This window comes from Homo sapiens, chromosome 22 (assembly GCF_000001405.40).
Source record: "Homo sapiens chromosome 22, GRCh38.p14 Primary Assembly".
Classification (NCBI taxonomy): Eukaryota; Metazoa; Chordata; class Mammalia; order Primates; family Hominidae; genus Homo; species Homo sapiens.
The window spans coordinates 31,255,900-31,276,036 of NC_000022.11; the positions used below are offsets into that span (position 1 = coordinate 31,255,900).

Here is a 20,137-nt window from a genome sequence, read left to right on the forward strand (position 1 = left end):
CTGATAAAGTGAGCTGCCATTACATTGTCATCATCTTTAATAGAAGTTAACACATACTGAGTTTCTACTATATTGGGTCTTTTTTTTTTTTTTTTTTTTTTTTTTTTTTTTTTTTTTGAGACGGAATCTTGCTCTGTTGTCCAGGCTGGAGTGCAGTGGTGCAATTTTGGGTCACCACAACCTCCGCTTCCCAGGTTCAAGCGATTCTCCTGCCTCAGCCTCCTGAGTAGCTGGGACTACCAGTGCACGCCACCACGCCCGGCTAATTTTTGTATTTTTAGTAGAGACAGGGTTTCACCATGTTGGCCAGGCTGGTCTTGAACTCCTGACCTTGTGATCTGCCCGCCTCAGCCTCCCAAAGTGCTGGGATTACAGGTGTGAGCCACCGCGCCCTGCCTATATTAGGACTTTTATATAAGCTATCTCTAGCTAGCTAGCTAGCTAGCTATAATGTTTTTTGAGACAGAGTCTGACTCTGTCACCCAGGCTGGAGTGCAGTGGCGTGATCTCGACTCACTGCAACCTCCACCTCCTGGGTTCCAGTGATTCTCCTGCCTCAGCCTCCCGAGTAGCTGGGATTATAGGTGCATGCCACCACGCCCAGCTAATTTTTTGTATTTTTAGTAGACCAGGTTTCACCATGTTGGCCAGGCTGGTCTCGAACTCCTGACTTCAAGTGATCCACCCGCCTCGGCCTCCCAAAGTGCTGGGATTATAAGCATAAGCCACTGTGCCCAGCTGCTCTCTATATTTTTAATACATATTATTTCCATTAATTTTCACAGCAGTTCATTTTATAGATGAGGAAACTAGGCCAGAGAAGTAAAATATCTTGCCCAAGATGATGTAACTAGTAAGTGGCAGGATCAAGATTCAAACCAAGCAATGTTCAAACCTCTTGGAAGCAAGAATGTGGCCACTGTGGAAGGTGCAAGGCCTTGACAACAAGAATAGGGAAAAGAAGGAGCTAGAAGGAAAGAGATGGCATGGGCTCAGCAGGCCAGGGAGCTCTTAGCTGTGTGTGTTGGGAAGCTCAGAAGGGAGGAAGAGGTTGTCTGTGCAGGTAAGTCCTGAGAACACACCAGACTTTTGAGAGGTGGAGCTTCATAGCCAGGTCATTAGGGGAGAAGGGAGCTATAGATTTTTTTTTTTTTTTTTTTTTTTTTTTTTTTTTTAGAGACGGGGTCTTACTATGTTGCCCAGGCTGGTCTTGAACTCCTGGGCTCAAGTGATCCTCCCACCTCAGCCTCCCAAAGTGCTGGGATTAGAGGCATCAGCCACCCCGCCCAGCGAGCTATGGATCTAACATGTACATCTTACACAGTGCTAATAGAATGTTGGGTTTCTTCCCCAATATTTTATTTTGAAAAAAAATTCAAATATATAGAAAAGTTGAAAATGTAGTTCAAAGAACACCTACATACCTTTCACATAGATTCATGATTTGTTAATGTTATGCCACTTTGTATATATCTCTCTCCCTCTATCTGTATACTTTTATTTATTTATTTTTGCTGAACTATTTCAGAGTAACTTAAAGGCATCTTGATTTTACCCTTGAACAGTTCAATATGTTTCTGCTAAGAATTCTCCTATATAAGTCAGATATCATTACATCTAAGAAAATTCACGGCAATTTTACAATATAATATTATAGTCCAAATCCATATTTCCTCAGTTGTTCCAAAAAATGTTCATGGCTGTTTCCTTTTTTAATCTAAATTTGAATCCAAGTTTGAGGCATTGTATTTGGTTGCTGTGTCTCTAGGGTTTTTAAAATCTGTGCCTTTTCTTCTCCCCATGACTTTTTAGAAGAGTCAAGACCGGTTATTCTTATAGAATAACCCACATTCTAGATTTGCCTGATTAGTTTTTTTATACTTAACGTATTTTTGGCAAGAACATTACATTGGTAACGCTGTTGGTGATGGGTCAGTTTTGAAGAGTGGAGATGATTAAACTGCTTTTGTTCATTGAAGTATCTGTCAAGACCAGAGATCCTTAACTGGTGCCATAAATAGGTTTCAGAGAATCCTTTATATATACACCCTGTCCCCCACCTAAATTATATACACATCTTCTTTATATATTCATTTTTCTAGGGGAGGCTTCTTGGCTTTTATCAAATTCTCAGAGGGCCCCAAGACCCAAAGAGGTTATGAAACACTAGTCTGTCCACTGAGGCAGGCAACACAGAGCTGGTTTCTGGGGCCTTGTTCAGTCTGAACCAGCTTCCCTTGGGGAGATAGCACAAGGCTGTAACTTTGCCCCATCTTGGCTTTGGATCAAAGAGGACTGTCCATTTTGTTGTCATACCTAGGAACCAGGGACAGCTTATGTGGCCTGGTTCCAGGGATCCAGGAGAATTTCAGTTCTTGTCTTGCCTTTCAGGTGTTCAGAATGCCAGGATTCCCTCACCAACTGGTACTATGAGAAGGATGGGAAGCTCTACTGCCCCAAGGACTACTGGGGGAAGTTTGGGGAGTTCTGTCATGGGTGCTCCCTGCTGATGACAGGGCCTTTTATGGTGAGTGAATCCCTTCATATCTGCCCCTCTTGGTCTTCAGAGTCCATTGACAGTGCTTCCAGTTCCCTGTGGCCTGTTAATCTTTTAGTCTTTCCATCAGCCAGGGCATCTCCCTTTATTTATTCATTCATTCAACTAGCAGGTATCAATTGAGCACCTACTAAGTGAAAGGTAAGATCCTTCCCTCAAAGACTTAATAGTTGAACGTTGGGAGTGGGAGGAGAGGCAGGCAGAGAGGAGACACAATATAGTTGGATAAGGACCTCCAAGGAGAGTGTTACAGGCTGAGAGGAGGATATACTTAGGTTGTCTTTAGGGAATCAGAAAAGGAGACTCTGGAATAGGCTGGCAGAGAGAGGGGCTACCTCCTATACCTGCTCTGGACAAACGACTTTAAGCATAGTGACAGACTTGCCAACCCTGTATTGGAAGAACTGATCTTTTTTAGTGGGGATGATTACTTCTGGGGATTTCTTCTCATAACTGAGACCAAAACAGTTTTGTGCAGTCTCAGAAATGACAGGAGGTACCAATCTGACACTTCCTTTGGAAGCTCTAGGGCAGAGAGTGAAAGAGTGGATTTTGACGGGGGCCTTGCTTGGAGGTCATTCACCCACCCCTGTCCTCACTCCAGCAACAGTGATAACTCACTTCCTTCCTCCCTTTGTACACCCTTCTCCCCACCTGCTCACAGGTGGCTGGGGAGTTCAAGTACCACCCAGAGTGCTTTGCCTGTATGAGCTGCAAGGTGATCATTGAGGATGGGGATGCATATGCACTGGTGCAGCATGCCACCCTCTACTGGTAAGATAGTGGTCCTTTGTCTATCCTCTCCCATATAAGAGTGGCTGGCGGGGAGGGACAGTGGCAGGGTGAGTTGGGCAGAAGGAGTGTTAGGGTAGTCAGAGCATTGGATTCTTACCACAGCAGTGCTCTTAACCAGCTCTTTAACTTGTAAGCAGAATGATTTACACATGTCTCTACCCTTTTTCCTTACCAACCTTGAAAATGTCTTCACTCTGCCCTGCAATCCTCCCAGTGGGAGGCACTCTTCAAGGACGATCCCAGAACATTAAAGTCAAAGACCCCTTAGAGCTCACCCTGTCCAACCACCTTGGTTGATAAAAGAAGTCAGCCTGGGGCCCATGGAATAGAATAGTACAAGGGCAAGGTTCTCATTGTGAGTCAAAGGTAGAGTGAAGAGAACCCAGACCATCTCACCCCAACCCAGGCCAGTGTTTTTCCAAATATACCACTTGCTGCAGATCTAGCTCAGCACCCCCAGTCCCAGCCCACCCTGAGAACCCAGGCTCCTCATTCTGAGCAGCCAGCTAGAATCATGACAAAGAGGGTGGTAGTGAGACTATGGGTACTGTTGCTTAAAGCCACATGGTGCAGTGGTTGCTGGGGGGCTTCTGTGTGGGACTCTAGCATCTTATTCCCCCCTGTGCCCTCTCCCCAGTGGGAAGTGCCACAATGAGGTGGTGCTGGCACCCATGTTTGAGAGACTCTCCACAGAGTCTGTTCAGGAGCAGCTGCCCTACTCTGTCACGCTCATCTCCATGCCGGCCACCACTGAAGGCAGGCGGGGCTTCTCCGTGTCCGTGGAGAGTGCCTGCTCCAACTACGCCACCACTGTGCAAGTGAAAGAGTAAGTATTTTGAGAACCCTTCAGCAGGGGTTCTTGAGCAGAGTCTGTAAATGGGCCTCAGAGGGCTTAGACCTCCAAAGTCTCATGCAGAACTCCCTTTATTCTCATCTCATATCTTTCTCCTGGACCCCACTATGCTGTAACCGTACCTGGGCCTTGGCACTTACTGTTCTCTCTGCCCAGGCTACTTCCTACCCGATACTTAAGGCAAGAATCACTCACCTTTCAGGTGTCAGGTTTCAGGTCATGTTTGCTCTTTGAAATCATCTGGCTTGATTATGTGTATTAGTTGTTTATCTTCTATCCCCTCCACTAGAATGTAAATTCCAGAAGAAACTTGCTGTCTTATTCAGTGCTGCATGCCCAGGGCTTGGAAGAGTACCTGGCATATAGTAGGAGTTGATTGATTATTATTTTGTCAGTCGAGAGAATGAATGGAGAAAATGTGGTCCATGGCCCAAAAGAAGTTAAGACCCTATCCTAGATTCAGGCCAGAGACCAGATGGAGAAAGAGTCTGTGTCTATCTAATACCAGTAATGTCGTACCTCTGGCCGCTTACCATGTAAATATTGATTGTGTATCTACCATGTGTTGGACACTAGGCTAGTGCTTGCACAGCAGGTGAAAGATACTAGAGTTTGGGAAGTCAGGAGGAGCTAAGGTCTGTTCTACAACCTTATTAGATGAAGAGGAGAGGGAATTGTGTTCAGGGCAGAGGGAGAAGCATTTCTCCAAAAGTAGGAGTCTTAATCATGTCTGATGTAGGTTGAGTGTGGCCAGAAAAGGGGCTGTTAAGTATAGAGGGCCTGGATTATGAAAATCCAGCAGATCCATTGAGAGTTTAAGCAGCAAGGTGTTGTGACCAAGTTAACATTTTAGAAGGATCACTGGTATGGAGGTTGGATTGGAGAGGGGAAAGCCTAAAGGTATAGAGACTAGTTAGGAAGCTATTGTAGGCTGGGCATGGTGGTTCATGCCTGTAATCTCAGCACTTTGGGAGGCTGAGGTGGGAGGATTGCTTGAGGCCAGGAGTTGAAGACCAACCTGGCCAACATAGCAAGACCCCGTCTCTGTTTTTCTTAATTAAAAGAAAAGTCCAGACGTAGACATAGTGGCTCACGCCTGTAATGCCAGCACTTTGGGAGGCCAAGGTGGGCAGATTGCTTGAGGTCAAGAGTTTGGGATTAGGCCAGGCGCAGTGGCTCACGCCTGTAATCCCAGCACTTTGGGAGGCCGAGGTGGGCGGATCACAAGGTCAGGAGATCAAGACCATCCTGGCTAACACAATGAAACCCCGTCTCTACTAAAAGTACAAAAATTAGCCGGGCATGGTGGCGGACGCCTGTAGTCCCAGCTACTCGGGAGGCTGAGGCAGGAGAATGGCATGAACCTAGGAGGCGGAGCTTGCTGTGAGCAGAGATCACGCCACTGCACTCCAGCCTGAGCGACAGAGCGAGACTCCATCTCAAAAAAAAAAAAGAGTTTGGGATTAGCCTGGCCAACATGGCAAAACCCCATCTCTACAAAAAGTACAAAAAAATTAGCTGGGTATGGTGGTGCGCGCCTGTAATCCCAGTTACTCAGGAGGCTGAGGCATGAGAATTGCTTGAGCCTGGGAGGTGGAGGTTGCAGTGAGCCCAGATCATGCCACTGCACTCCAGCCTGGATGACAGAGTAAGATGCCATCTCAAATAAAAATTAAAAACAAAGTTTAAAAAAAAAATAGAAGCTATTACCGTGATCCAGGTAAGAGATGTGAATAACTACAATGATGGAAAGAAGGCAGAGTTCTTAGAGATGGGAGTAGGAGAGATGAGGGAACTCCAGATTGGGAAGATGATGTTCAAGTTTCTGGCTTAGGCCACAGGGTGAGTGGCAATTCCCTTCACTGAGATGGGGCATCCTGGAAAAGGTGTTGCCTTTCTGTGTGGGTATCCTGGGCCCCTTAGGGGCCACTGGTGGCCTGGGACCTGGTAAACCTTCCCTGCACAAGCAGAATTGGTCAAGCAGGTTTTTAGGACATCTTTACCCTGCCTCAACTCTTGTCTGGCCCAGGGTCAACCGGATGCACATCAGTCCCAACAATCGAAACGCCATCCACCCTGGGGACCGCATCCTGGAGATCAATGGGACCCCCGTCCGCACACTTCGAGTGGAGGAGGTAGAGTGTGTGTCTAATCTGTCTTGTGAGGGTGGGACATGGAACAGATCCTCTGAGAAATCAGGCTGTAGCCTTTACCTTTTCCTACCCCCAGCCCATCTCTTTGTCTTAGCATTGAGCCTGTGACCACTGGTGACCTATTTCAGCGTAACAGGTTCCCAGGGTAGCAGGGATGGTTGATGGACGGGAGAGCTGACAGGATGCCAGGCAGAGGGCACTGTGAGGCCACTGGCAGCTAAAGGCCACCATTAGACAAGTTGAGCACTGGCCACACTGTGCCTGAGTCATCTGGGTTGGCCATGGGTGGCCTGGGATGGGGCAGCCTGTGGGAGCTTTATACTGCTCTTGGCCACAGGTGGAGGATGCAATTAGCCAGACGAGCCAGACACTTCAGCTGTTGATTGAACATGACCCCGTCTCCCAACGCCTGGACCAGCTGCGGCTGGAGGCCCGGCTCGCTCCTCACATGCAGAATGCCGGACACCCCCACGCCCTCAGCACCCTGGACACCAAGGAGAATCTGGAGGGGACACTGAGGAGACGTTCCCTAAGGTGCCACCTCCCACCCTGGCTCTGTTCTGTCCTATGTCTGTCTCTCGGATGAAGCTGAGCTGGCTTTCAGAAGCCTGCAGAGTTAGGAAAGGAACCAGCTGGCCAGGGACAGACTATGAGGATTGTGCTGACCCAGCTGCCCCTGTGGGGATCACAGTTTACAGCCAGAGCCTGTGCGGACCCAGCTGTCTGCCAGGTTTCCTTAGAAACCTGAGAGTCAGTCTCTGTCCACTGAACTCCTAAGCTGGACAGGAGGCAGTGATGCTAAACCCTGAAGGGCAACATGGCCTATGGAGAAAGCATGGAGCTCAGAGCCTGGAGTAGGGGCACAGATAGGATTGAATAAATTGTGTAGAAAGACTTTGAAAACAATAAAGCAAAAGATGAATGAACGTTTTTTTTAGACTTGAGGGACCAACAACCCCCAAACCCCAGATTCTGCCAGGTCCATGGGGAAGGAGAAGTTGCCTTGAGTGGAAGCCCCAAGTAGGGAGACTTACAGAAAAGAAGTCAAGAGCACTGGCTCCCAGGCAGAAATACTGATACCCTACTGGGGCTTCAGGCTGAGCTCCTCCCTTCACAAATCACTTCATCTCTCTGAGCCTGTTTCTGCATCTGTGACATAAGATGGTAAGATAAAGGTGGCTGTCTCACCAATTATGTAAGGATTAAATGTGGAAAAGGACATAAAGTTGTATAGTGCTGCCATAGGGACAGTGTTCAGTAAACGTGACACATTCTTAGTATCACTAAGAATCAGGTTCTTGGCCAGGCACCGTGGCTCATGCCTGTAATCCCAACACTCTGGGAGGCCTAGGTCGGAGGATGGCTTGAACACAGGAGTTTGAGACCAGCCTGAGCAACATAGTGAGACACTGTCTCTACAAAAAAAAAATAATAATAATAATTGTTTTTAATTAGATGGGCAGGGCACTGTGGCTCACACCTGTAATCCCAGCACTTTGGGAGGCCAAGGCCGGAGGATTGCTTGAGGCCAGGAGTTCAGGAGCAGCCTGGGCCACATTCCTGTCTCTACAAAGAATAAAAAACTTAACTGGGCATGGTGGCACATGCCTGTAATCCCAGCTACTCAAGAGGCTGAGGAGGAGGATTGCCTGAGCCCAGGAGTTCAAGACTGCAGTGAGCCTTGATCACACCACTGTACTACAGCTTGGGCAACAGAGTGAGACCTTGTCTCCAAAAAAAAAAGTTTGTTTTTTTTTATCCACTCTCCTCACCAAACAAACTGAGTAAGTTAGAGCCCTCTCAGCTGGCATGTGTTGGAAACAGTGCCCTCTCATTAAAGTGCTGCCCTCACTCCCATTGCCTCTTGGCCTTGGTCAGTATGATGAAATTAGTGGGAGGCAGGGCAACAGAGGGCAGGGAAGAGCTAGAAATCCATGGCCTGGAAAAGGGAAGATTTGGGAGTGGCCAGGTATCTGTAGAGCCACCATGCAGAGGAGGGGGGCAGCTAGCCTTGTGTGCTCTGGTGGGCATGGTCAGCAGGAGGCAGAGCAAAAGGACAAGGGTAAGTAAACCTGTAGGTCGGGACAAGCCAAGAGCCATCCAGCGTCAGTCCTCTCTGGGTAGCCCAAGTAAAGCAGGAGCATACCCCAGAGAGAAAGTTCGCAGGGCTGTTCACCTGCAGTGCTGTGGACTTCAACCTTCTTGTTCCTTCTTCAGTAAGTGAAAATAACAGTCATTGACCATGACTATTATCGACCGCTTTTGAAAATGTAAACATAGTGACTTTATTGCTGTAAAAATCATACGTGTTTATCATCTTAAAATTCAGGAAACATGGACAGGTACAAAGATGTGCAAAATATCATCCAAAATCCCATTTGCTGGCCAGGCACGGTGGCTCACGCCTGTAATCCCAGCACATTGGGAGGCCGAGGCGGGCAAATCACTTGAGGTCAGGAGTTTGAGACCAGCCTGGCCAACATGGTGAAACCCTATCTCTACTAAAAATACAATAATTAGGCTGGGCGCAGTGGCTCACGCCTATAATCCCAGCACTTTGGGAGGCCGAGGTGGGCGAATCACAAGGTCAGGAGTTTGAGACTAGCCTGGCCAATATGGTGAAACCCCATCTCTACTAAAAATACAAAAATTAGGGCCGGGTGTGGTGGCTCACGCCTGTAATCCCAGCACTTAGGGAGGCCGAGACAGATGGATCGCGAGATCAGGAGTTCGAGACCAACCTAGCCAACATGGTGAAACCCCATCTCTACTAAAAAAATACAAAAATTATTCGGTTGTGGTGGCACACGCCTGTAATCCCAGCTACTTGGGAGGCTGAGGCAGGAGAATCTCTTGAACCTGGGAGGCAGAGGTTGCAGTGAGTGGAGATCCCGCCGTTGCACTCCAGCCTGGGCGACAGAGTGAGACTCCATCAAAAAAAAAAAAAAAAAAAAAAAAATTAGCCGGGCGTGGTGGCGTGCACCTATACTCCCAGCTACTTGGGAGGCTGAGGCAGGAGAATCGCTTGAACCTGGAAGGCGGAGGTCGCAGTGAGCCGAGATCGTGCCATTGCACTTCAGCCTGGGCGACAGAGCGAGACTCTGTCTCAAAAATAATAATAATAACAATAACTAGCCGGGCCTGGTGGCACATGCCTGTAGTCCCAGTTACTCAGGAGGCGGAGGCATGAGACTCAGGTGAACTAGGGAGACAGAGGTTGCAGTGAGCCAAGATCACACCACTGCACTCCAGCCTGGTTGACAGAGCGAGACTCTGTCTCAAAAAAAAAAAATCCCATTTGCTCATTTTTTGGATACTAGTATAACTATCACTCTAAACCAGTTAGTACTTAAATCAAGCAGATATGGGAGATGGTGAATTACCATCTACAGTGTTGTCATATATGTCACATACTGAGCATTATCAGCTAGTAGAATCTAGTTAATTGTTCTATGTGTGATGTATGCAGAGTTCCCATTTTGAATGTGTTTTTACTATGCTTAAATAAATGACTGATGTCAGCAACCCCAAAATGATACATCTGATGTAAGAGCCCCTGTTCCCCAATAATAACATCTAAACTATAGACATTGGAATGAACAGGTGCCCCTAAGTTTCCTCCCTCCAGGGTTTCTTGGCCGGTCTCTGAGGACTACACATCCCTACTCCCGTCTTTCCTCATCTTCAGGCGCAGTAACAGTATCTCCAAGTCCCCTGGCCCCAGCTCCCCAAAGGAGCCCCTGCTGTTCAGCCGTGACATCAGCCGCTCAGAATCCCTTCGTTGTTCCAGCAGCTATTCACAGCAGATCTTCCGGCCCTGTGACCTAATCCATGGGGAGGTCCTGGGGAAGGGCTTCTTTGGGCAGGCTATCAAGGTGAGCGCAGGCAACAATTGCTTTGCTCTTCTGCCCCCAGTCCCTCTGTCACTGTCTTTCGGGGATTTCTCATCACTTGGCCCCACCCCACACCATGCAGGATGCCAGGCCTCCTTCCTGGCTTTGGGTGTTGGTGTGAGAGGTATCCTTCACCCCCACCCAGGCCACCTAAGGTCAATGTTGCTGTTACAGTGAGCTTGTGGACCTGGAGATCCAGGTTGGGTTGAGCTGTGCCTGTGGCCCTCCTGCCTCCAGTCAGTGGGTGTTTGTTAGGTGCCTGCAGACCTCAGTACCGGGCATGCTACAAGGAGCACACAGGGGAATGGCTCCTGCCTCCCTGGTGAACAGTCTCAGGGACTAACCTCTCTCTTTCTCTCCTCCTCCTCCTCTTCTGCTGAGAACTGGGAGGGGGGGTCAGGTAAGACGTGTGTCTCAGCTTGGGGGCAGCAGGGCTGGAGAGCTCACCCCCGATCCACCCAGCTCCCTGGTGCATGTCTTTGGCACTGACCTTCCTGCCCCCAGACTTCTGTTCACTCAGGAGACTCACTTCTATGCCAAATGACCAGAGCCCCTGCTTGGCTTGGCAGCATCCCCTCCTGCCTTCTTCCCCACTTCCCTTTTCTGGGTTCTTGCCTGTCCTCTGTGCATGCCCAGCTCTCCAGGAAAGAGGGTTTGCTTCCGTGTGAGTCCCATGTTGCTCCACGCTGCATCTTCCACACATGAACTCTGTCATTCTGACCCGGCTCAGTGTGCCCTCCAAGGGATGGGATGGCCAGCTGCATAGATTTTCTCAAACAGTTCTCCAGAACTTCCTCTGGTCTCAGCACCATTAACAGTCACCCTCCCTGTAGGTGACACACAAAGCCACGGGCAAAGTGATGGTCATGAAAGAGTTAATTCGATGTGATGAGGAGACCCAGAAAACTTTTCTGACTGAGGTAAGAAGATGGAGGGGGCCCGGGAGGTTGGTGTCACCATTGGAAGAGAGAAGACCTTACAAATAATGGCTTCAAGAGAAAATACAGTTTGGAATTACTGTCTTAAAGACTAAGCAGAAAAGAGCCCTAGAGGAATATCCCACTCCCTCTAAATTACAGCGTAATTATTTGTTCAATGAACACTTACTAAAAGCAACACAAACAGGGTACAAGGGATGCAGTAACAAAAGATACAGGGTTCAGAAGAGCTCTCAGGTTATGAGGATGATGGACATGAAAACACTCCAATTTAGTACAACTCAATGTTATAATCCTCACCTGAACGCCCTGCTAAGGGAGCCTGGAGGGGAGCTCCCTGAGCACTCACACTCCTTGGGCATTTACAGTTTTCACTACCCCTCCCAAGTTACTTCATGGAGTAACTTAAGTTGGGGACACCTGTGGTCTGGGTATTGCCCTCCAAGCCACTTGGCCACTCCCACCCCAGTTCTCCCAATGCAGTTCCAAGGGTAAGGCCTATGAAGCCATCTCCATCTATATGGTGGTGGTCTTCCCTCATCCTGATCTTAGTGCCCTGTCATATCACAAGATAGGAGGTAGGAGATACAGGTGGTAACACTTGTCAAGCTGATTCCTTGGAGGGAAGAGGTAAGGAAGACAGTGAGAAGTTAACCACCAGCTTTCCTTGGCTTCCCCCACCCCCAGGTGAAAGTGATGCGCAGCCTGGACCACCCCAATGTGCTCAAGTTCATTGGTGTGCTGTACAAGGATAAGAAGCTGAACCTCCTGACAGAGTACATTGAGGGGGGCACACTGAAGGACTTTCTGCGCAGTATGGTGAGCACACCACCCCATAGTCTCCAGGAGCCTTGGTGGGTTGTCAGACACCTATGCTATCACTACCCTAGGAGCTTAAAGGGCAGAGGGGCCCTGCTTTGCCTCCAAAGGACCATGCTGGGTGGGACTGAGCATACACAGGGAGGCTTCACTGGGAGACCACATTGACCCATGGGGCCTGGACCACGAGTGGGACAGGGCTCAACAGCCTCTGAAAATCATTCCCCATTCTGCAGGATCCGTTCCCCTGGCAGCAGAAGGTCAGGTTTGCCAAAGGAATCGCCTCCGGAATGGTGAGTCCCACCAACAAACCTGCCAGCAGGGCGAGAGTAGGGAGAGGTGTGAGAATTGTGGGCTTCACTGGAAGGTAGAGACCCCTTCCTATGCAACTTGTGTGGGCTGGGTCAGCAGCTATTCATTGAGTTTGTCTGTGTCACTGAAACTGACCCCAGCCAACTGTTCTCAGTTCACAGCCCTGTTTTCAAAGAATTACACATCTCTAAAGGCAAACAGGGCACGGACAAGGCAAACTGGAGAGGCAAACTGTAGCCTGAGATGGCCTGGGCTTGCCATCACAGGTATTCAGGTGCTGAGGGCCCTTAGACCAACTAGAGCACCTCACTGCCTAGGAAATCAATGAAGGGGAAATGAGTTCTAGCGGAGCCCTGAAGGATCAGAATTGGATAAAGTTCTTATTGGCAGAGAGGCACCAGGATTGAAGTGACAGGAGCAAAGACCTGGGAGGAAAGAGGAGAAAATCATCTATTTCACCTGGAAACAAATGATTCCAAGCATAGAAATAATAACAGCTGACAAGTACTGAGTGCCCTCTATATGCTAGGCACTGGGCTGAGGGATTAACATGCATGTGCATGTTTATTCCTCATGACAACCTTGGTTTCCAGATAAGCTGGACTGGAAAGGGACAGAGCTGGGATCCTGGGCTAATCAGTCTGGTCGCCAAGCCTGAGACTTTAGCCACTGCCCTTCACATGGGGGTCCATGAAAATAGTAGTAGTCTGGAACAGTTTGGGGGTACATCAAGGTCGCTGTGTTTTAAGCTATGGAGTCTGGACTATAGGAGACAAATGTAAAAGAGTTTTTTGGTTGACTGGCTTTTTGGTTTTTTTGTTTGTTTGTTTGTTTGTTTTTTTGTTTTTTTTTCCTGTTTCTGGGGCTTGAATCAGGAAGGAGGTTTTTTTGTTGTTGTTGTTTTGAGAAAGGATATTGCTCTGTTGCCCAGACTGGAGTGCAGTGGCACGATCATGGCTCACTACAGCTTCGACCTCCTGGGCTCAAGCAATCCTCCTGCCTTAGCCTCCCAAGTAGCTGGACTACAGGTGTGTACCACCACACCTAATTTTTTGAATTTTTTTTTCTTTTTTTTTTTTTTTTTTTTTGGTAGAGACAGGTTCTCACTTTGTTGCCCAGGCTGATCTCAAACTCCTGGGCTCAAGCATTCCTCCTGCCTCGCCCTCCCAAAGTGTTGGGATTACAGTTGTGAGCCACCATGCCCGGCAGGAAAAGATTTTTAAGCAAGAAAGCTTAAGAGCTGTGGTTTTTCCAAAATGAGTCTGGGCTGGCACAGTGGCTCATGCCTGTAATCCCAGCACTTTTTTGGGAGGCCGAGGTGAGTGGATCACTTGAGGTCAGGAGTTTGAGACCAGCCTGGCCAACTGGTGAAACCCTGTTTCTACTAAAGAAAAAAATGCAAAAATTAGCTGGGCGTGGTGGTGCACGCCTGTAGTCCCAGCTACTCAGGAGGCCGAGGCAGGAGAATAGCTTGAACCTGGGAGGCAGAAGTTGCAGTGAGCCAAGATCACACCACTGCATTCCAGCCTGGGTGACAGAGTGAGACTTCATCTCAAAAAAAAAAAAAAAGAGAGACTGATATGGTTAGTACATTGGGGTGGAATGCGGAGGGTCCAGGGAATGGAGCCCTGCATAGGGGGCTAATGAAACATTTCAAATTTCTGAATTAAGGTAGTGGCTGTGGGGACAGGAGCCTGGGAGGCCGGGTGGAGTCAGAATGGAGAGACTGGTTGGCAATGAGGGAACAGGAGGAGGAGGAGGAGGAGTTACGAGTGGCTTGAGGTGTCACTTACCAGACATTTGGGGGATGGGGGATAGCCATGATTGTTGAGCAACTGGTTTGGGAAGAGCTAGCATTGATCCCTGCTGTTCTGTGCTAGCAGAACCTATCAGCATCTTCTGGGCAGGAAACTGGCTCCATGAGACTGGCTTAGGGAGAGGCTGCTAGTCACCTAATCTGCAGAGAAGGGGCAGCTGGAGCTGTGGGACAGAAGAGGCATCCATGTAGCTGGTGGGGGTGTCTCAGCTTGTGAAGAGGAGATGGCTTTGAGCAGGGCTGACACTGAAAAGGCTGGAAGAAAAAAACAGACACACAAGAGTCTCAGGATCAGGTAGCATAGGAAAGTTGTGGACAGTCTTTGAGGAGCACTCCCTCAGGCAGGCAGGCAGGCAGGTCATGAGCTATAGCGATTCAGGAAGAGCTCCCTGGGTGTGTGAGCAGCTCCAGGAGCCTAAGGGATGAAAGTAGTATTGCAGGGGGCTGGAGAGCAAGGAGTGGCTCCTTCTACATTTGCAAGGGAAGGAGAAAGGAAGTTGCTCCTGAGAGTGGTAAGAGTCAGTGGTGGAGGCCTGGAGAGGAGACATAACAAACAAATTTGTTGACAAACATTTTGGTAGGAAGGGGGAGAGCTTAAAGTTTAGACAGTGGGGAAGGTGGAGTCTTAGAGGAGGTGAATGTCTGAAAGACAGAGCTAGCTGGAGCAAGAAGTCACTTCTCTGTTGCAGGCAGGAAGGATCCAAAGTGGCTCAAGCCAGAGATTGGGAGAGTGGGGAGGAGGGAGCAGCCTGGATCTAAGTAAAATGGGTAGAGGTGGAGGGGGTGCTGCAACGGCCAGGGTTTTCTGAAGTTGGGGACATTAGGAGAGAGCTGTGAGGGCTTTGGCCAGCCACTGTGCTAGTGATTGGTGAACCAAAGGATGGGCAGGAGATGGCAGCAGGGAAGCAGAGGAAGTCCAGGCTTCCTGTTGGTATTGGGACAAGGGAGAGGCCATAGGAGGCCCTGGCCCTGTTGTCCAGGTTGGGTTCTGAAGCTGGGTGGGCATGGCCTGGTAGGAGAGCATCTATGGCGCCCAATTCCAGATTCAGGGTCTAGTTGATTTGCTGGCCCTGTAGCCTCAGCTCATGCTTCTGTTCCAGGCCTATTTGCACTCTATGTGCATCATCCACCGGGATCTGAACTCGCACAACTGCCTCATCAAGTTGGTATGTCCCACTGCTCTGGGCCTGGCCTCCAGGGTCCTATCCTTCCTGGCTTCCTTGTCACAAAGGAGGCTGACTTGTCCCCTCTGGCTAGAGGGCAGAGGTGTTGCCTAGGAGCTCCTATCTTTCCCTTCCTGCTTCTTCCAATGCCCTTCTCTGTCCTCTGGGAGCTCCGAGACACACACAGACATAATTTCACCTTCTCTCATTAGCAACCTTTGAAATAATTTGATTAGAAGGGACTTCAGAAGTTTGTTGACTATATGTAGAAAACCCTGTCATTTTACCTGCTTTTGCCCCATAGTAGTCTTGTAAAACAGTTCATTGCTGACCCCATTTTACAGTGGTGGCACCTGAAGCCTCAGCCTGAGGCCACCGAGCTAGTAAATTTACAGGGACCAGTTTGAGACCAGCATTCCTCCCACTGCCCCTCAGCTGTGGTGGTTACAATGTTGTTTGTCTTACTGACTTGCTATCTGGCTTCCTGGGTGTCTACCGGCTGGCCCTGGCTCTGCCCTCTAGACCCACACCACGCAATCTTCATTCCTTTCCCACATGACTGCCCTGTAGCTATTCAAAGAGCTTGTCTCCCCCAAGTCTCCCCATCTACTGCCTCCACCTTGCCTTTTTCTGTCTTATCCTGGTTCTAGCCACTGCCTGAAATCATTTTAGGAATAAGACAGGACAGGGAAAAACAAAAGCAACCCCCTGTCCCACCTCTGAGTTCCACTCTCCAAGTCCCTGAGCCTCACCTCCAGGGCTCCAGTGGCTCTGCCATGAACCCACTGTGGGCTGGGAGTCTGCTGTGCACAGATACCAGACCCTCAGAAACACAAATGCCAAGTGTGTCTGTTTTTTTGTTTTGTTTTGTTTTGTTTTTTAGATGGAGTCTCATTCTGTTTCCCAGGCTGGAGTGCAGTGGTGCAATCTTGGCTTACTGCAGCCTCTACCTCCCGGGTTCTAGTGATTCTTCTGCTTCAGCCTCCCAAGTAGCTAGGACTACAGGCGTGTGCCACCACGCCCAGCTAATTTTTTTTTTTTTTTTTTTGTATTTTTAGTAGAGACGGGGTTTTGCCATGTTGGCCAGGCTGGTCTTGAACTCCTGACCTCAGGTGATTCACCCGCCTTGGCCTCCCAAAGTTCTGGGATTACAGGTGGAAGCCACCGTGCCTGGCCTGAGTGTGTCTATTTGATAGAGCTTTCTGCTCTGATTCTCCCTTGCTATACACCTTTTCTCCCCTTCTCAGTGGCTTCTCTTGCCTATGCTTCCTCCCCAGGGCCAGGTTTGAGAACATCCCCATGAAGTCCTGACCTGTCTTTTATCCTACCAGGACAAGACTGTGGTGGTGGCAGACTTTGGGCTGTCACGGCTCATAGTGGAAGAGAGGAAAAGGGCCCCCATGGAGAAGGCCACCACCAAGAAACGCACCTTGCGCAAGAACGACCGCAAGAAGCGCTACACGGTGGTGGGAAACCCCTACTGGATGGCCCCTGAGATGCTGAACGGTGAGTCCTGAAGCCCTGGAGGGGACACCCGCAGAGGGAGGACAGATGCTGCCCTTGCATCAGAGCCCTGGGAATTCCAGGGGAGGCCTGTGAAGCGTAGGACCGGATACCCAGAGCTGAGGATATTTTTCCCTTGCCAGGTGGGGCCTCACGATTTAGCTCCTGAGCTCAGGGGGCTGGGAACTGATCAGTGTCCCATCATGGGGGATAAGGTGAGTTCTGACTGTGGCATTTGTGCCTCAGGGATCGCTAAGAGCTCAGGCTATTGTCCCAGCTTTAGCCTTCTCTCTCCATGGTGAGAACTGAAGTGTGGTGCCCTCTGGTGGATAATGCTCAAACCAACCAGAGATGCTGGTTGGGATTCTTGAAATCAGGGTTGTGAGGCCTCAGAAATGGTCTGAATACAATCCATTTTGGAGTCTGAGGCCCAGAGAAGTTCAGTGAATTGCCTAGGAGCATACAGCTGCCTAATGGCAGAGGCTAGATGAACCCTAGTCTGGTTCTTTTCCACTTTAACGTGCAGTTTCATCCTAGGCAGTGTTATGTTATAAGGGCTCTCCAAGGCAGTTCACCTACAGCTGAGGAAGGACTATTTTCAGGTGGTGTCTGCGCAGGACAGCCTGTGGGGTGTCCCTACAGAACCTGTTCTAGCCCTAGTTCTTAGCTGTGGCTTAGATTGACCCTAGACCCAGTGCAGAGCAGGTAAGGGATGTAAACTTAACAGTGTGCTCTCCTGTGTTCCCCAAGGAAAGAGCTATGATGAGACGGTGGATATCTTCTCCTTTGGGATCGTTCTCTGTGAGGTGAGCTCTGGCACCAAGGCCATGCCCGAGGCAGCAGGCCTAGCAGCTCTGCCTTCCCTCGGAACTGGGGCATCTCCTCCTAGGGATGACTAGCTTGACTAAAATCAACATGGGTGTAGGGTTTTATGGTTTATAACGCATCTGCACATCTTTGCCACGTTCGTGTTTCATTGGTCTTAAGAGAAGGACTGGCAGGGTTTTTTTGTTTTAGATGGAGCCTCACTTCGTTGCCCAGGCTGGAGTGCAGTGGCACAATCTGGGCTCACTGCAACCTCTGCCTTCTGGGTTCAAGTGATTCTCCTGCCTCAGCCTCCCAAGTAGCTGGGACTACCGGCACACACCACCATGCCCGGCTAATTTTTGTATTTTTAGTAGAGACAGGGTTTCACCATGTTGGCCAGGCTGGTCTTGAACTCCGGACCTCAGGTGATCCGCCTGCCTCAGCCTCTAAAAGTGCTGGAATTAATAGGCGTGAGCTACCTCGCCCGGCCAGGTTTTTTTTTTTTTTTTTTTAGTTGAGGAAACTGAGGCTTGGAAGAGGGCAGTGGCTTGCACATGGTCGATAAGGGGCAGATGAGACTCAGAATTCCAGAAGGAAGGGCAAGAGACTGTTCATGTGGCTGTCTAGCTAGCTCTTGGGCCAAATGTAGCCCTTCTCAGTTCCCTTCAAGTAGAAGTAGCCACTCTAGGAAGTGTCAGCCCTGTGCCAGGTACCACGTGGACAGAGTGAGGAATCTTGGAAAGATTCCTACCTTTAGGAGTTTAGTCAGGTGACAGCATATCTCAGCGACTCAAACACACACACATTCAAAGCCTTCTGTAATTCCTACAAAGTTGTGAGGGGTAGAGGAGAGGAGAGACAAGGGATGGTTAGGATAATGAAGGAATGTTTTGTTTTTGTTTTTGTTTTTGAGATGGAGTTTCACTCTGTCACCCAGGCTGGAGTGCAGAGGTGCAATCTTGGCTCACTGCAGCCTCCGCCTCCCAGGTTCAAGCAATCCTCCTGCCTCAGCCTCCCAAGTAGCTGGGACTACAGGTGTGCGCCACCACGCCTGGCTAATTTTTGTATTTTCAGTAGAGACAGGGTTTCGCCATATTGGCCAGGCTGGTCTCAAATGCCTGACCTCAGGTGATCCACCCGCTTCAGCCTCCCAAAGTGCTGAGATTACAGGCATGAGCTACCGTGCCTGGCCATGAAGGAAGATTTGTTTTAAAAAATTGTTTTCTTTAATATTAATTGAACACCTCTGTTCAGAGCACTGGGCTGGTGCCAGAGGGTTTCAGACATGAATCAGATCCAGCACCTCATAGAGCCTTAACTCTGGCACACACACACAGCCACAAGGAGACACAGACAAGGCAGGGTAGGATGAGTGGAAGCTAGGAGCAGATGCTGATTTGGAACACTTGGCTTCTGCAGTGAAGCCCCTTCTTAGTCCTCTTCAGTAACCCAGCTCTCAGTGGATACAGGTCTGGATTAGTAAGATTTGGAGAGATGATTGGGGATTGGGGAGAGCTCTCTAACCTATTTTACCACCTCCTCTTCTGCCATTCTTCCTGTCCACATCCCAGCATCCCTTTCCCTTGCCAAGTATCTGTGGCCTCTGTAGTCCTTTGTAAACAGCTGTCTTCTTACCCTACAGATCATTGGGCAGGTGTATGCAGATCCTGACTGCCTTCCCCGAACACTGGACTTTGGCCTCAACGTGAAGCTTTTCTGGGAGAAGTTTGTTCCCACAGATTGTCCCCCGGCCTTCTTCCCGCTGGCCGCCATCTGCTGCAGACTGGAGCCTGAGAGCAGGTTGGTATCCTGCCTTTTTCTCCCAGCTCACAGGGTCCTGGGACGTTTGCCTCTGTCTAAGGCCACCCCTGAGCCCTCTGCAAGCACAGGGGTGAGAGAAGCCTTGAGGTCAAGAATGTGGCTGTCAACCCCTGAGCCATCTGACAACACATATGTACAGGTTGGAGAAGAGAGAGGTAAAGACATAGCAGCAAGTAATCTGGATAGGACACAGAAACACAGCCATTAAAAGAAAGTTTAAAAGAAGGAAATTCACCCAAACCATTTGAATACAGTAAGTGTATTCATCTTTCGATATTCCCCTGTCCATATCTACACATATACTTTTTTTTATAGTAAATAGTTCTGTATTTTGCCCTGCATTTCCCTTGTGTTTACTATCCAGTCTTCCTGTTTATCATTTTTGTCGACAACATGAAATTCTATTGAGAGACTGTCTGAACATATTGTAATGTAGATGTTCAGGTTTTTCCAGTTTCTCTTTACAATAGGTATTTAACTACAGTGAGCAGTTTTATGCATTTAGCTAATTTCTCCTTTGAGGAAGTATTTTCAAAATTACCTTTATTCTTCTCAGGTAATAATTTCATTATTACCAAAGTTACCCTAGGTCTTTTCAAGTGTGTGGTTAAAAAACGAGAATCTGGCTGGGCGCGATGGCTCACACCTGTAATCCCAGCACTTTGGGAGGCTGAGGCTGGTGGATCACCTGAGGTCTGGAGTTCGAG

General features: G+C 49.0%; 1 protein-coding gene across 3 annotated transcripts in view; it reads left to right on the forward strand.

The window, feature by feature from the left end:
* Nucleotides 1-20,137, forward strand: part of LIMK2 (LIM domain kinase 2) — a 67,783-nt gene that overhangs the window by 43,602 nt on the left and 4,044 nt on the right. For all 3 annotated transcript variants that reach the window (NM_005569.4, NM_016733.3, NM_001031801.2), the window contains 13 exons: nucleotides 2,392-2,527; nucleotides 3,222-3,331; nucleotides 3,990-4,178; nucleotides 6,235-6,340; nucleotides 6,696-6,892; nucleotides 10,047-10,233; nucleotides 11,085-11,171; nucleotides 11,877-12,008; nucleotides 12,245-12,301; nucleotides 15,237-15,302; nucleotides 16,631-16,805; nucleotides 17,553-17,608; nucleotides 19,252-19,409. In NM_005569.4, coding sequence (NP_005560.1) covers nucleotides 2,392-2,527; nucleotides 3,222-3,331; nucleotides 3,990-4,178; nucleotides 6,235-6,340; nucleotides 6,696-6,892; nucleotides 10,047-10,233; nucleotides 11,085-11,171; nucleotides 11,877-12,008; nucleotides 12,245-12,301; nucleotides 15,237-15,302; nucleotides 16,631-16,805; nucleotides 17,553-17,608; nucleotides 19,252-19,409 — 1,656 coding nt within the window. The remainder of the gene's footprint in view (nucleotides 1-2,391; nucleotides 2,528-3,221; nucleotides 3,332-3,989; nucleotides 4,179-6,234; nucleotides 6,341-6,695; nucleotides 6,893-10,046; nucleotides 10,234-11,084; nucleotides 11,172-11,876; nucleotides 12,009-12,244; nucleotides 12,302-15,236; nucleotides 15,303-16,630; nucleotides 16,806-17,552; nucleotides 17,609-19,251; nucleotides 19,410-20,137) is intronic.